Source organism: Homo sapiens, chromosome 6, assembly GCF_000001405.40.
Source record: "Homo sapiens chromosome 6, GRCh38.p14 Primary Assembly".
NCBI lineage: Eukaryota > Metazoa > Chordata > Mammalia > Primates > Hominidae > Homo > Homo sapiens.
The window spans coordinates 55,534,890-55,552,559 of record NC_000006.12 but is presented as its reverse complement, the minus strand read 5'-3'; the positions used below and the strand labels follow the sequence as shown (position 1 = coordinate 55,552,559).

The window sequence follows — 17,670 nt, the reverse complement described above, 5'->3', positions numbered from 1 at the left end:
AACTCTTTTTAGCTATTGTAACCTCCATTTTTTATAGATGAGTAAATGAGGTACAGAGTGGTAATAGAATTTTTCACTATACTAGGGATGGAAAATATATTTTTTATTGCAGAATAGAGTCAATCATTGATAGTAGATACCTGAATTTAGATAATAGTTTCTACCTGGATAGCAGATACTGGAGTAGGTAGCTCTATTGAGAATGCCTAGAAGATGCACCTGTACTCATTGTGAAAAACTGCCATATTGAATTACTATTGTCTGTCCCGAGTTTGAAATGGAGGACTGGTAGCATTCATGTTTAGGATTTTAAATCTCTATGCTACATGTATATGCCCTACAGAGATAGATCACTACGGGGTTGTCTATTTGAGACTTTAGATTCTGTAATGAGTATTCAGCAATCATTTATCTTTTTTGTGTGTGTTTGTTTGTTTTTGGATCCCTGCATTTTTTTAAAATGCCCCTTAAATTACTTTTATAATTTATTAATTCATTTTAATTGAGTTTCCTTTCATATAGTTAGAACTTTGGTTAGTCTTGATACAGTGGATCAATGTGATGTTCTGCAGAATGTCCAGCTATTTCAGGTCCCTTTGAAATATATTATGACAGACAATAGGTGAATGAATATAGCACTGAGAGAATTCTATAAAATCTGCTGTTGTCTGTCCCAAGCAAATTGGAATTTTAATGCTGTTTTTTCTTTCAGGTACAGAAAAGAAAGCTTTCATCCATTGGAGGCTGCATACCATTTAAATAAGGCAGTGTTAATTTGCTTTTGCAAAAATACTGCAACTGGGACAGAAGCTACAATTGGGGTTTATTTATGGTAGCTTAGTGTCATCCTCCAAAATCATAACATCTTTCTGGTTTGGGTAGAGGCTGTACTGGTGATTAGAGGGGGTTGCTGATGAGGCCATCACCCCTGTATCTTTTACTTTCTTTAGATTCTTGAGGATGGTAATAATCTCTGCTGGCTCACCTAATATGCTTTCTTCTTCTCCTCCCCCTCCTTTCCCTTCCTCTTCTTTTTCTTTTTTTACTATTTCAGCTGAAGGAGAGGAGGGAGAGATTTCAGAAGCTTCTACTTGCCCTTCCTTGTTACAATAGCTCTTACATTACAAGTCAAGGAACTAAGATGCAGTAAGGCCTGTTCCTAATACTAAATATGTTATTTCCAATTATATACTCAGGGACTGAGAAATAACCACAGGGAATAAGGACCCAGGACTCCACTTATTATGCGGTCCTCCTATTTCTCATTTTAACAATGGGGATATAATGATACTTTGGGTCTCCAAGTGTCATTGTCAAATTGAACCTTGTATCCAAGAATCTGAAATTTTTGGTATTCTTCTTTACCCAGTGTAAATTTACTCAAATGAATGCCTATAGATCTCTTTGGGGAAAGATTATATGAATTACTTTATATAGTTCTCTTAGTATTACAAGGTCCTCATCATAAACATCTGGCTGCTGCTTCAGTCACTTGTGGTTTATTTTTTTTTTTTTGGTCTGAAAATTGGCTAAGATGTATAGACTAGGCAAGGGATCATGACTTTTACATTGAAGCAGCTAACCAAAGCTAATTGATGAGCTATAGCCTTCATTAATTTTTATTGTATAGGTCAGGATGGCTTAACCTTAACACTATGGATTTTGGATGTCTTCTTTGTTGTGGAGTCCTGTCTTGTGCATTGTAAGATTTTTACCCTACTAGATGCCAGTAGTGCCCAGCAATTTTGACAACCAAAATTTCTCCAGACATTGCCGGGTGTCCCTTGGGGTGCAAAATTGTCCTGAATGAGAACGAGTGAATATGTTAATAATTACACTGCTGCAGGTTGCCAGGGAGTAGCAATATCCCACCTACTTCGAAGAATATGAAATAACTGAAAATTAACCAGCAACTCATCTAGCTCCCAAATCCCATTTTGGAGACCACTTCCTCAGTTCACTCCTGGCACTAATTTTCTTAGGTCTGGTTCCCTGGGAACAGTCTCCTGGACAAGGATTTGTTTGCGGGACGTTATTGCCATTGGATTCAATAACTGTGGGGAAGTAAAGGATATAAAACTAGGTAGAAGAATAAGTTGAACTATGATGTACTCACAACAGAGGCTTCAGTGAGTCACACAGGAATCCCAGGAGCTGATATGGCCTTTCCAGTTAGGATGGGGGCATGACCTTGGATAAAGTGGCGCTGTAGCTGAGGGTGATTACAGAAAAGGGGCCCAGTGAAATGCCATCAGCTGCCAAAACTTTAGTTTCTGAGAATTTCTCCACCCTAGGAGTACCTGAGCAACATCTCACAACATCCGCTGTAGTCTATTAATCAGAAATAAAAATTTCCAAAGGTATAGATTTCACCTAACTTCACTAGGATATGGTAACATTTTTCTCAACCCCTTCTGCCACCTTTAGCACTCAATAATTCATCTCCAACAAATATAAAACACTGTTCACATATCAAGAAGTATAAGGGACCATAGATTGTTGTTTTCTGAGAATTTTTGTTGTGTGTCTGTAGTCACGCAAATGCTCATTTTTATTTTTGCCAATCAGAAAAGAAACATTACATAAAGCTGTATTTTGATGGAAGTTTCATTAATATCTGAAAATTTTTATTTGAAGTTTGAATGGATTTGGGTTGATGACTGTGTGGATGACTGAGTAGTCTTACTGTGCTTAATAGAGTGTATTATAAAGCTGAAAACTCATAGCACATCACTGATGTGATTTCCCAATTTGACATTGTTATATAATCAATATGGCATAACAAAAAAAAAGTAATGAAATTTGATTGCTTTTTATAAATAATAACAGCCTCAATTAAAATAACTATTTAGAATGATGAATTATGTCTTCTTAGCTAAATATTAAACCAAGTGTCCTCAGCTAACACACTGCTATGCCATCTTAGGAGTTTGAACTTGAAAACTCTGACAATTTATGCATTTTAATAGTTTCCTTCAACTTTGTGGCTATCAGGACATGCTGCTGGTATAACTGGCTTAATATGAATAGTTTCATTTTCTATTATAAACCGTAGTTTTCAGAAATGTATCATCCCAGAAAATATTTCCATGAGGAAACTTGGCATATCACAATTTTATCCCAGAAAATTAAGCTTTACCAAATACACACAGACACACACACACACACACACACACACACACACACTTCTGTATTTGCAGGGGGCAAAAACAATTTTCGTAGTTTTCAAAATAAATTTTGGGACTGACAGCAAGGTGGGAGAGTGTGAGATCAAACAAATTTTGTTGGTGAAGACACTAAGGAGAAGAAATTTTCTATATAAAATATTTGAAGTCAAACATTTCCTTTTGATTTTCAAAGTAACACTTTTATTACTATCTTAACCTTCAATATAGCAATAATGATTGTAATTGTAATGAAACACCTATAGGTCATGTTGGCTATTTTTCATAGTTTATTTTGTTTCAATGTTAAATTGCCATGAATACAAGAATAAATAATTTTATTTATTAAAATAAATAATGTAAATAACAGCCACCATTTAAAGAAGCATTATCATGTTTACAGCATCTTGTGCTCTATCAATTCATAGAAGTTTTTCTGTTTTGAATTATTTTAATGCTTTATTAAATTCTTGCATTAAAAATTCCTATTCTTGATTTCTTTGATTTTTTTCTTCTTACATGTACTTTGTCTCATTTTTGTTTTTTCTATTATTTTGTTACTATCCATGTTTTATAAACTTAATATTCTTCATTTTCTCTATTACTTAATATTCTCTAATCTACTTACTATTATCTATTTTAATCTCATATTTTCTATTTCCTCTTTCATAGTTTGTTTTATTCATAATGTAGTTTTATATTAAAACAATAATTAATTGATGAATATTAAACACCTGGCTGCATTTATTGCTGAAGCTACTTTTAAAAAAATGGAATTTATTTAAGTAGTAAGTGAACACATATGGTAAAGATGCTAAAAACCTCATTTTAAAAATTTGAATAAACAATTTTAGATGATCTTACCTTGTCCATCTTTCTACTACATTTCAATCTGTCATATGTGGCAAATGCCCCTTGTATAATTTTCTTTTGCTTTTTTGTAACTACTCTTGATTGATTCAAGTGTTCATGAAATGTATATAATGTATATATTTCCAGGAGAAACTTGTATTTATTTATGCTGTATGTCCACACTGATACTCTGTACTGATTTTCCATTGAGTTCCAAGAGTTAATATTAGGATACATATACAGAGAGGGCTTTTATCATTTCTAGAGCTTGTTTTTAATCTCTCCTAAAGCTTTTACTGAAGGCTGTTGAAAACAAAGTGTAGCACAATTCTCCACTTCTCTTCTGGCTGTTCAAAAACTGCTAAAAAGTAAGCAGATACCTTCCTTTACTTTTTGATGTAGTAAGTTAAGACATATTGTTTATTGAGTCTTAGATGACATAATAGTACATTACAAACTTATTTTTGCATGGTTACAAATAAATTTTTATTAAACTGCCAAAGATTGCCTGTGAATCAACGTTGGCACATAGGTATTCTGAAAGAACAGTTTCACTATCAGCTTTGTTGAGTCACCTTTCCATTCTAGAGAGATACCCAGGAAGAGAAATGTCTTTTGATTGCTCTGGATGATCAAGGTTTCTATGGATATCTGCTATATAAATGATAATAGTTTGTATTTCTCATTATATTTGATTAAAACAGAAATTAATATCTAAAAAGCAATAAATAGCAGAATGTGGAGAGTTTAACATTACCACAAAATGCACCATGTGCATATTTCAAATGAGACAACAAAAATAGATTTTCTTGGAAAAGCTGATCTCTAATGCCCCCTTAAAAAGCCTAATTTAATTTTGAAAGAAAGTCACACAATTTCCTGATTCAGCCCTCTGATCTGTGTAATAGGAACATTTGATTGGAACATCATAGCAGTTCTTGGGAATACTGGCTATGAAACAGAATATTTCAATATTCATAAAGACCTTATTTACACAAAAAAATACTTCTCAAGAAATGAAGTGCATGAAACATAAGCAAATATGTCTGGAAATTTCTACTATAGATGATGTTATTTTCCTAGGGGAAAAAAAAGCAGTACTTGTAGGGTGACTAATAAGCAATCATATCTATTACCATTAGAAGGGTTGATTGTATATATAGAAGTCATCCATTATTACTGCTGAGAAATGTGTGTGCTACACACAAGCATACACACGCTGGCATACACCCACACACACTCTAAATATTTCAGAGAAATCCCCATCAAAATATGCCTTCCATTTAATTTTATGTAAGATTGAAAAATGTGAGTGAAGCACATTACTTATGTTCTGTATAAAAGAATGATTCATTATTATTTTCTTCAACCATAACTCAATAGTTGGTGATGTATTTAATCTTAACCTAAAGAAAACTAGAATAAGAGCCAGGGAGCTTAGCTGGGTAAACTTAGGAAGTCATTTAATCTCTTTCAGGTCTGCCTACCTCACAGAGTAGCTTCACAGATGAAACGCAGATAGAAAAGTTCTTTGGAAAAGTAAAGTAACATATAAATTCAAGATAGTATTTCTTTTATTGTTACTCTATGAAAGTGAACCATTAGAAATCTGATGCCAAACGTGGGCATACGCTCAGCCATAAAACATAGCCTTTTGAAACACTCACTCTGGATAAAACATCTTTTGTTTTTTCGCTAGTATCATATACTACACTGCACATTAAACAGGATATACTGAGCTCTGTAATGTAGGACATTAAATGCTATAAAAATAAATTTTTAGACTATTGGCCTGTTTAAGAAGTATGTTTCTAACTTCTCCAGACTACATTAAAATGCAACACAATTCCTTGTAACTTACAAGTCATTCGTTAATTTTCATATATTCAGTATGTAAGAAAAGTGTCCCTCCCCATCCCTGCCTCACAGTTGCTTCCAGATCTCTATAGCACTAAAATGTAAGCTAGTTATGGGCAGGAGTTTTGGTTGAATGATTCACCTCCTATACCCAATAACTATAATAATGCTACTTAGCATGTGTTAGCTAAAAGAAAGTTCAATTTTACTTGTCCAAATTTTATTCATTCATTTAGTCAAACATTGATCAAGTGCTTATTATGTATCCATTTTGATAACTCTGAGGGTTTTAATAAAAAAGGAGAAACAGGCAAGCAAAGAAGTACTCATAGATATGCTTTAAAATAGGCTTCTACAAAACGTTATGAAAATACAGAAATGAAATAACTTAATTCCATCTGCGGAAGTCAGAAGTCTCTTGAGTAGATGACAAATTGAATCTTGGATGATCAATAAAATCAATAAAATCAATAAAAATTTTGTTGAAAATAATTGGATATTAATGGAGTTAATAATAGTATTGAGGAACAATTTTTATGGAACCCTTGCTTATCTGCATGTTTTATTAGCAAGGCACTGATTGCCTTTCTTTGAGAATATCTTTTCAAGAATGTTTTTCTAGCAAACAGCCATAGAAAGAGAGATAGTATCTCTCTCTAAGGCAAAGGGCAGGTATGCCTACAGCCCATTATGAAATTCTGAGGTTCCCCAAGTGCAGCTCCTGCAGTGTGAGCCATTGCATATGCTGGTGTTACCTGGTCATCCTCTAGTTTCTCATTTTTAAATGGGTTGCCTTTCATACTTGTTGACTATGTGTGATTTAAGAGCCCTCTCTTACTGATCTTTAGTCTCTTCCTGAGCATTACTATCTCTGTATTGACTTTTTTTTTCTAATGAGCTTAGATATGCACAAACAATGCCTAGTAGGCAAATCCAACTAAATGTTATACAAGCACGTAGAATTCAATAATTCAAAAATAAGCTCATTATCTCCCCACCAGAACATATTTCTCCCCAGATATTCCCCAGTACATGCTGTTCCTTACCTTCTATCTTACACTTATATATAATTGGACCATTTATTACTGGCTCTAAGTTGGCATATATCAGCCCCAGCCCAATGCATGACATATGGACTGTACTCAATAATTACTTGTTGATCATATTGGATAATTTCTTCTGTCACTTCTGTCACTGGCTTAATTCAGATAGTCTAGAAAGACTAAATAGTAACATTAGATTCAAGAGGAATCAAAAACAATGTCAAGTGAACACATATTCTGCTTTGATTGAAATGGCCATAATTGTTAATAATCGGTGATTTAATTTCTTCAGATTACTTGTTAATAATGCCAGCTACAATACATTGATGCAAAGAAAGGTCCTCAGTTCTTCAACTGTATTCAGGAGGCATATGGTTATTACCTTAAAAAACACTACGTACCTTTCTTTTTCTTCTTTTTTTTTTTTTTTTGGCAAACATTGTCATTGAGTAAAAGAAAACTCTTCTGCCATGTATGTGCCAAGCTAATTGTTGTTGAAATGCAGTTTCAAGAAACAATCAGTGATAATGAGACCACATGGCTTAAGATTGCCTAGTTTTGTTTTTGTTTCATTCCTGCCAACTGAAGACTAGAGGTAATAAGAAAGAAGAGTGAGCTTTTCTTATTTACTTCACCTTCCCATGTCATATATTTTATTTATTGTTCTGTTGAAATTATAGGCATCTTGTAAATCAGGCATGATTTCATGTTGTCATCCAAATGGAGTTTAAAGCTGAGGAACCCCAGGCCTTCCTCTCATCCCTCCACTCTCTCAGGTTAACTTCATGCATCACAACCTGCACAGAAAATGCAGAAAAGAAAATTCTTTTTCTTCTAGGTTGCTTTTTTTGCTTATTGAATTGACTAATTTCATGGAAATTGTAGAGAGTGGTCTGTAAACATTGTAATGGGGACCATCTGGGTTCTTTTGCTGATAGCTCAGAATGCTGATAAAACCAATAACAGCTCTGGACCCTAAAAATGGCCTTTGAATATTTTTTGTTCCACAGACTTGAATTTGGTTCTGCATTCAAAACAGCCACCTTACCCATGTATGCTTTAATTTTTACAAGGACAGAGTGTGACAGTATAAACTGGTTGGCTTGAATTCATCATTCCTGATAAAAGGCAAAAACAAGCAAACAAAAACTTTTGAAGTACAGGTTCTGTGGTTCTGGGCTGATTCTGTCAACTATCCACTTAAAGAACTTGAATATGGGTTACCCAAACTTAACTCGGCTCAGAGGTACCAAGAGATTATGTTGGTACAGTCTGGAAAGATGGAGTATGCTTCTGACTTTAACTGCAATATACTATTTCAAAGGCTGTTTCGTTTTCCCCCGATTTTAAATAACAGCCTTCTAAATGGGCATATTTAGAAGGCAAATATATCTTCTAAACTAGATCCATGGTACCTAGTCTGAAACCAGAGGTTTCAGAAACCAGACCATTTGCCATCTCAGATTTTAGCAAAAGGTAGAACAAGGGGTTTGTTACATTTGGCTGGAGCTAGGCTGCTCCCAGTGGGTTATTGTGGTATAGGTTCCACTAGGAATAGGTCTGTCTTTCAGGGAGCGACACTTAGGTGGTAGCTGTGCTGTGTGACCTAGAGAAAAAATAAGCAGCAAATTGTCTTTTCTAGCCTCAGTTTTCTGGGCCCAATTCCCAAAACCAAATTCATATTCAAGTTCAAGGTAGAGAGGGTGGCATCCTGTATACCTCTTCATGGAAGTAGAAATAGTCTTTTAACTTAAAGAGTTATTTATTTATTTAGACAGGGTCTAATTGCGTCACCCAGGCTGGAATGCAGTGGCACAACCACTGCTCACTGCAGCCTTGATCCCCTGGACTCAAGCAATCTTCCCACCTCAGCCTTCCAAGTAGAGTAGCTGGGACTTTAGGATACACCACCCCCATCACGCCTGACTAATTTTTGATTTTTTGTTTTTTTTAAGAGAGATGAGGTTTCACTATGTTGCCCTGGCTGGTCTCAAACTCCTGGGCTCAAGCAAATATGCCTTGGCCTTCCAAAGTGCTGGCAAAAAAATATATATATATAAATATATAAATATATATAAAAATATATAAATATATATGTAAATATATATATACACATAAAAATATATATATTATATATGATATATATGATATATATCATATATATATTATATATGATATATATGATATATATCATATATATCATATATGATATATGATATATATCATATATGATTTTATATTATATATGAGATATTATATATCATATAATATATATAATATATAATATATCATATTATATATCATATATGATATATAATATATATTATATATTATATATCATATATGATATATAATATATTATATATAATATAGATATATTATATTATATATTATATATCTATATTATATCTATATTATATATTATATAATATATAATATATAATATATAATATATTATATATTATATATTATATATTATATATATAATATATATAATATATAATATATCATATATATGATATATATTATATATTATATCATATATTATATTATATATATCACACCTGTATATATATTATATATCATATATATGATATATTATATATGATGTATTATATATCTATATATGATATATTATAATAATTTATAATATATATTGTATTATTTATAATATATATTATATATTATTTATATACACTTATAAATATAGTAATATAATAACAATCTAATAACAATATAAATAATCTAAATATATAAATATATAAAAATATAAAAATATATAAATATATATATATTTATATATAATACATATATATTACATATATATGTAATATATATATATAAATATAGGTATATATATTTTTTGAGATGGAATTCCGCACTGTCACCAAGGCTGGAGTGCAATGGCACGATCTCAGCTCACTGCAACCTCCGCCTCCTGGGTTCAAGTGATTCTCCTACCTCAGCCTCCCAAATAGCTGGGATTATAGGCACCCACCACTATGCCCAGTTAATTTCTTGTATTTTTAGTAGAGACAGGGTTACACTATGTTGGCCAGGCTGATCTCAAACTCCTGACCTCATGATCCTCCCACCTCAGCCTCCCAATGTGTTGGGATTACAGGCGTGAGCCACTGTGCCTGGTCAAGATGTAATTTTTAAATGAACTCTAACAGTAGTTAGTTTATTGTCATATGCGGAATCACCCAACAGATTTGATCTTTAGGTCCTGAGTAAATCAATTATTCTTCAATTATATTTTATAAATTAATCTTTTGAATTTTAATCATAACTAGACTAAATATCACTTGGTTATAAGGAAAAAATACTTCATGTTGCAAGTAATATAAATAGTGCATTTTCATGATATCATTGTATTGATTTTTCAGTATTTTAATTCTCTGGGGTAAGAGTATAACAAAGTGCAGTTGTTTAACTTTTCAAATAAGCAAATGTAACAATCTAAAAGTTACGTTATCTTGTTCTTACATTTTGCATTTCAGGAAACATCCCAGTTATCTGGACTCCCTGAGTTTGTTAAAATAGTAGAAGTTGGGCCTAGGGATGGATTGCAGAATGAAAAGGTAGTTTTACATCATTTACTTCAAATGCTGTCTACAAATTAATAAATTTAAGATTGTAAAGATTTACATGGATTTCATATGTTATCTGATTATATTTTTTCTCAATTGCTACTTGAATTTGTAAATTACAAATAATACTCACTTTGACTTAGGAAGTAATTTTCTGTTTGTGCTTAAATAGGACCTATACAATTTACTTATAAAATATTTTTTGTTTTCATAGGTTATAGTTCCTACAGATATAAAAATTGAATTTATCAATCGACTTTCCCAAACTGGCTTGTCTGTAATAGAAGTGACTAGCTTTGTGTCTTCCAGATGGGTACCACAGGTATGTAAACCCACAATTTCTTAATTAGATCCTAATTCAACTTCACCAAAAAATATTTGGTAAATACTGTGATATTAACTTGATATAATTACTAATTTTCCATATTCTTTCAAAATATTAACCTGTGGACTGTGATATGATTAAATAAAAACCCTTTGATGAAGTCCTACAAGTTACTTAGAACTTTATACTAAGCCTGTGTGAGTATGGTTCAATATAATGAATAGGGGACAAGGCCGTTGAATAGCATTTTAGGGGGTCTGCCCTTTCTTTATCATTTTATGGCTGACTTTCTAAATAATCTGAACATCTCCAAATGCATTAGTCATTTTGTCTGTTAGAGGCAAATGATAATAAGTAGCCTGATAGCTTCCTTCTAGAATCCCATATTGAAGAGTGAGAAATGGAGACACATACTCCTTTTACTTTGCTTTTTTTGACACTTGTATTTGCAACAGGGATACGTCATCAAATATATCATTGAAGATAAAGCAGAGAGTCATCTAGAATTTTGCCTTGAAAGATGATGAGAGAGCTTTCTCTAGGGTTTTCAGGCATGTGGCAGCAGTCATTACTTCTGAAACTTGACTCTGATCTTTGAAACATCACTAGTAATTAGCAACCAGTAAAACACTCTTCCTAATCCAGTGTCTGTTCTCAGTCCTTGGATCCCTTAATTTCTCCACAGCACTTAGTTTCACTGACTACTCCTGATATCATTTCCTTGGTTTCCATTATTCTCTATTCTAATGAATCAGTTATTTCCCCAATTGCTCTTTCTCTGTCATCTCTGACATCTTTCATGACCTCTTAGTTTAAGGTTCCCCTAAGATTCTGTTTTCAGTGCTTTTCTCTGCCTATCCTCTCTTCTTTGGCTGTCTTTCCAATACCAACAGTCATTTGCATTTCTAGTGCTGCCTTCCCTGATAAACTTCAGGTGGATGTACCATCTCCACCTCAATCTCACTGGGTTAAAATCAAACTCATTGTCCACCCTGCTTTATGCCAGGAGTGCAAATCTTTCCTTTAAAATCTGGATTTTAAGAGCTGACTTTGTATCCAGTTACTGTCGTAGTCACTTAGGGATACTATAACAGAATAGCATAGACTGGGTGACTTAAACAGCAGGAGAACTATTTCTCACAGTTATGGAGGCTGGGAAGTCCAACATTTAGGTGCTGGCAGATCCAGTGTCTGGTGAACACCCACTTCCTTATTTGCAGATGGTCACCTTCTCATTCTATCCTCATATGGTGGAGAGCAGAGACAGGGAGCACACTCATGTCTCTCCTTATCATGTTACTAATGCCATTCATGAGAGCTCCACCCCCATCACCTAGTTATCTCCCAAAGATCCTTCTTTTTAATATTATCACATTACAGGTTAGGATTTCAACATATTAATTTTGAGGAGGTGCAAACATTCAGTCCATAACAGTTACTGATGTATGAAATGTCTTCTTCTTCAGTATGGCCTACACCTGTGTCTTCTTTTCAGTCCCATTGATACATTAGTGATCCAGGTCCTCATTAAATAATCATTACAGTAGTCCCTTAAATGGTATTTATAAGCACTGTTTCTCCATTCGTCATACTTTCCTTGTAAAATAATCTTCCAGAATTATCAGCTTTCACAAAGTCATATTTTCCTTCCTTCCCTTCCCTCCTTTGCTTCCTTCCCTCCCTCCCTCCCTCCCTCCCTCCCTCCCTCCCTCCCTCCCTCCCTCCCTCCCTTCCTTCCTTCCTTCCTTCCTTCCTTCCTTCCTTCCTTCCTTCCTTCCTTCCTTCTCCTCCTCCTCATCCTCCTTTTCTTTCTTTCTTTCTTTCTTTCTTTCTTTCTTTCTTTCTTTCTTTCTTTCTTTCTTTCTTCCTCTTTCTTTCACTTTAGGGGTACAAGTGCAGGTTTGTTACTTAGGTAAACATCTGTCACGGGATTTTGTTGTACAGATTATTTAATCACTTAGGTCTTAAGCCTAGTATCCTTTAGTTATTTTTCCTTATTCTCTCCTCCTCCCCCCCTCAACTCTTCCATACGCTCCAGTGTGTGTTGTTCCTCTCTATGTGTCCGTGTGTCCTCATCATTTAGCTCCCACTTATGTATGAGAACATGCAGTATTTGGTTTTCTATTCCTATGTTAGTTAATGTGCTAGATAATATGTTCGATAATGGCCTCCAGCTTCATCCGTATCCTTGCAAAGGACATGACCTCATTCTTTTTATGGCTGTATAGTATTCCATGGTATACAGGAGTACATTATCTTTATCCAGACTATCATTTATGGGCATTTAGGTTGATTACACGTCTTTACTGTTGTGAATAGTGCTGCAATGAACATTCACATGCATGTGTCTTTATGATAGAATTATTTATATTCCTTTGGTTATATACCCAGTAATGGGATTGATGGGTCAAATGGCATTTCTGTCTTTAGGTCAAAAAGTCACATTCTAAGTTCTTTAATGGTTCCCTTCCTCCCATTGACAAAGCCTGGAAACTTTGGTTTGGTATTCAAGACTGTCTATACCTGGCCACGTTTTTTCCTTCTTAGTGTTAACTGTATTACTTTGTGGAAGCTACTGCTAAATTAACTGTTTCTTGTCCTCTATTTACATGTCCTGCCTCTTTGTCCATATAGCACTTTACCTGTACTTGCTTATGTGTATCTGTATTTCTGCGTTTCTCTGCAGTTAGAACTCAATTAGATAGAAAGGCTTAAAACATTAAAGGCTTTTTAATTGTATTACATTTGAAGTAACAGAAGCCAAAATAGGATTAAGAGTAGTAGTAATATGTCACCTTTCACAGAGGGTGACTTTTATTTATCCTCAAAAGAAACTAATTTTCTCTATCCCATTGTCACTGCTGTTTATAGTGTGTGTGTGTGTGTGTGTATGTGTATATATTTTGTTTTGATTAGCCACTACCTATACCATAAGTATTTTAAAAGTAGTGATCATGTATCGTTTATCTTCTACTTATCACTGTACACCCATTTCTCAGTACATAGTAAGTAGGTGCTCAATGTAAAATAAAAAAAATAAATCAATCAGTCTGAGAGAACAATACCATATTACTTTCAATTCTCTGGCATCGGCAATTGACTCTCACTTTGTTCATGTATTTGGTCCTGTATAATGAAGGTCACAAAACTATTTTTTAGGAAAACACTACTAGTTTGATTAGGCTAGGTATATTTCCTTGAAATTGTCAATTTGTAAAATGCTAGCTATTATTTCACTAGCCACCATTAATTTTAAGAGAGTTCTAGACATTTTTATTGTCTTTATATCTTCATAAATTTACTTCTGTCTTTAATACAGTCTTTGCTAATTTCACATATTTGATTATTGCTGGAGAGAAACTGAATAGGCTGATATAACTTTAGAATTAGTGTTAGGAAAGATAATAGATTTCGCTAATATTATTTGATGAATATTGACCAACTAAAGTTATATTTCAGGTACAAACTGTTGCTAGCCCTCTTTGAAATTCTTTTTTGTTTCCTCAGTGGTTTTATAAAGCTGCCTACAAAATAGTCTTTCCTATAGTAATGTTCATGGCCACCTTCTAGTATTATGCAAGAGTGGAAATTGATGATAGATTTTTAAAAACTGATTTAGGACATACTCAGTGACATTTAGAAGGATAAGGCAGAAATAATTTTTAGAAGGCTACACTTCTTGCATAGCTAGTTAAGAGAAAAGATGGACAAAAGGAAAAAAAAAGGCAGTCCCTTTGTGAGAAGTAATTGGAAAATGCCTCCTGACCTTACATTAAGTAGATACATGGGATAGGACTATAAAATGATATGATTTATTCTAGGTTTGTTCCCAAGTTGAGTTTAGGGCTTAAACTATTCAAATTTAATGAACTCTTCCAAGGCTCAAAGTATTATCGAATAAGTGCCTGAATTCCCCCACATAGCTTTTGAGGACAGCTGTGGTGAGAGGAAGTGCTTCCGAAATTGTGTCCCTGTTCACATTCTGCCTTGAACTTGAGTAAGTGACTTAACCTCTCTGAACCTTGGAAATCCCAGCAGTGATGCCTGCAGTATCAGAGTGTTGGAGATTATAAGGCACGTGAATGGTCCCTGAGTGTGAATGCCCACAGTCCAAAGCACCTGACTCCTGACCAGTGCTCAGTACTGTTATTTAAGGGAATGCCTGATTAGTAGACATACTGATGGATGGATCTTGGGCTCTACACAAGTTCACTGCCTTTTCTGATAACTAGCCTTTATTCTGAAGATTAAAGTATGTGTATAGTTACAATATTGAGTTGAGCTCAAGTTGAATAATTGAAGATATTTTGCCTTTCAAATGCTAAAGGCTATGTTATATATTTTACTTTAATATTCATCTAGTTATATACATTCCAATTTTTTAAGTGGTTTAAATAAATCACATACTTGTAAAAGATCAGTGTGCCTGAATCCAAGACAGGAAATTTATCTTCCAAAGTTGTATCAGTCACTTACTATATAACACATTAAATGTTTGTCAAAGGCAAATATTGAGGATATTCTACTTTTCCAATTTGATTTTAGATTTCAGGGAGCTTGTCTGAGCAGACCATTTTAAAATTTCTCTTTTGAAGTTTTATATTACTCTCTTATTTTGGAAAAAAAATCTTATGAAGTCAGACTTGTCTAACTTAACATCTGAGATTTTGACGATAATTTTAGTACAACAGCTTACATATATATTGGTTGAAATAATTTCTACTTTTAAGGACAATGTGTGTGGATCTAAATTGGTATTCTATTAATTCTCTACATCTTATATTTTTTTCCTCAAATGTAGGTCATGGGAATAGTCCTCTAGTTGATGTTTAGATTGCTGCTTGATCACTTATTTCTTTTTTTAGGATTTTAAAGCTTTTTTACAGTTTCCCTCCTACTGTTTTGTTTGGCAAAGACTTTCTAACTCAAACAGCTAAAAGAAAAGTTCCACAGTAGCAGGGTGCCATATAAAACAGGATCCCACACCTATAACCTGAATGGCTGGAGATGATAAAATACCTGTCATTAAAAAATACATGTTCTTTACAACTTATCTGGGAAAAGCTTTCCTTAGAGTGACATGAAATATAAGAACATTTGAAATGAGTCCAGATAGCCCCTCGCTCAGATGGAATGAACAATAGCAGCAGAAAGAAAACATGTTTATAAAAATAGATAAAGTTTATTGCAACATTGGAATGTGGCCGTTAGTAGTAAGCTATTTAAACTGTAAATACAATAATCTTTTAAAAAGTGAACTAGAGTTTTACATTCATCTTTAGTTTAGCCATTTGATTGTAAATATTTTATTCACAAGTGATTAAAATGAATATCACTTATTTAAAAATAAAAATACATTAAATATACATAACATTGTACATTTATGTATGCCATAGGCAAAGGCTTAGTTTAAAAATATTTGCTCCCTCATTAGCTATTTTTTAACTGTTGGAATAGATGGGTCACAAGTCCCAACACCAGGGAATAAAAATAGATTTTTTTAATAAAAGTAGAAAGAAATGTATGTAAAAGACAAATAATTATTTTCAAGTCACTCTAAAACTTAAAAATATGGACCAAACACAATGTTAGCAAGAAGGAACGAGTAAATTACCCCTACTCTCCTTTTGGTGTGTGATACAAGTAGCTCTTTATTGGCACTGAAGACACATTTACTGGATTGAAGTTTAAAATTCAGATTTACGTTGATGAGATGCAGGAGGCTATACCTTCTGCTACCAAGTCCAGTCCTGATGTCTCCTCCTAGCTCTTTTCTTTTGAGGAAGGTAGGTATGGAAAAGAGTCAAAGAAGGAGGTGATTTTGACGAGGTGTATGTGAGGGTGCACGAAGGGGCTGAAAGAGAGAGTGAGAAAGAAAGGAGGCAGAGAGCCCCCAAATTGCTTGCTTATAAGGTACAGTTCATTCAGAAAAACTTTCCATTTGGGAAATTTTCCAGAGTAAGACTCATCCATTATTATCCAGATGAGTTGGCCTCTGTCACCTTCCCAAAGAGGTTCCTGGTGAAATTTACCAAGATCACAATTCTTATTCCCTGGTGCTATAGGAGTCCTTTACCCAGACAGGTAGAGGAGAGGAGAATGTTGGCTGAAAGAGGGAGGGAGACTTAAACCAAATTATCTCCAAATGAGCCTGACTTAAAATACTCAATTCTGTGCATAGAACACTATTTTCTTCTGCACACTAAGATGCCGGCATGGAGATCAAAACCATATTATGACCCAACTCTCACTTAATTGATGATCTACTCAGCAACTGTGGGTCTTCCACATATTTTTATGACAGAAGTAGATCTATTAATCAGTTATCCTAGAGAATCAGCTGATTAAAATCACTGAGAATATTTATTGGTGAAGTCTTCATATTCTTGTCTTTTCTCCTGAATTCGTAGAGCAGGTATGCACACTAGTGTTGCTTCCTTATAAGAGTTGTCATGGTTCATTTTCTGTTTCTAAATATATGAGGCTCGTTCTGTTTTTCAACTTATATAAACACGTTGAATTTCTTATATAACAAATAATTGCTGTTTGTCCAATATTTGGTCTCAGAGAAGGAATGAAGACACTTAGTTCTTTAGTAAATGATCTCAAATGGTCATTGAAATTTAAATGTAGGTAAAATTGTGCTCTGAGAGCTAGATCCACATAGATAAAATATGTTAGCTCTTCAAGAAAATTGAGAACAAGCATACACTATTTGCCACCTCATTTTTTTCCCAGTACTTAAATGGCATGAACCATAGACTCCACATTGCTTCAATCGGTCTAACGTGTTTTCACTGACTATGCAGCTTGTGGGAAATATTTTATGTGTTTGT

At 33.7% G+C, this 17,670-nt stretch overlaps 1 protein-coding gene across 10 annotated transcripts in view; it reads left to right on the top strand.

Annotated features, from left to right (window-relative positions):
- The window catches only part of HMGCLL1 (3-hydroxy-3-methylglutaryl-CoA lyase like 1), a 244,547-nt gene that overhangs the window by 126,360 nt on the left and 100,517 nt on the right, over window positions 1-17,670 (top strand). For 9 of the 10 annotated variants that reach the window (NR_109869.2, NR_109867.2, XM_047418902.1 and 6 more), the window contains 2 exons: window positions 10,420-10,500; window positions 10,724-10,831. Coding sequence is in view for 5 of the 10 variants with exons in the window: in XM_047418902.1 (XP_047274858.1) it covers window positions 10,420-10,500; window positions 10,724-10,831 (189 nt within the window). In the remaining 5 variants the exon portion in view is untranslated. Of the gene's footprint in view, window positions 1-4,362; window positions 4,385-10,419; window positions 10,501-10,723; window positions 10,832-17,670 lie in introns of those variants that run through there. The other variant, XM_047418903.1, reaches the window with a different exon arrangement.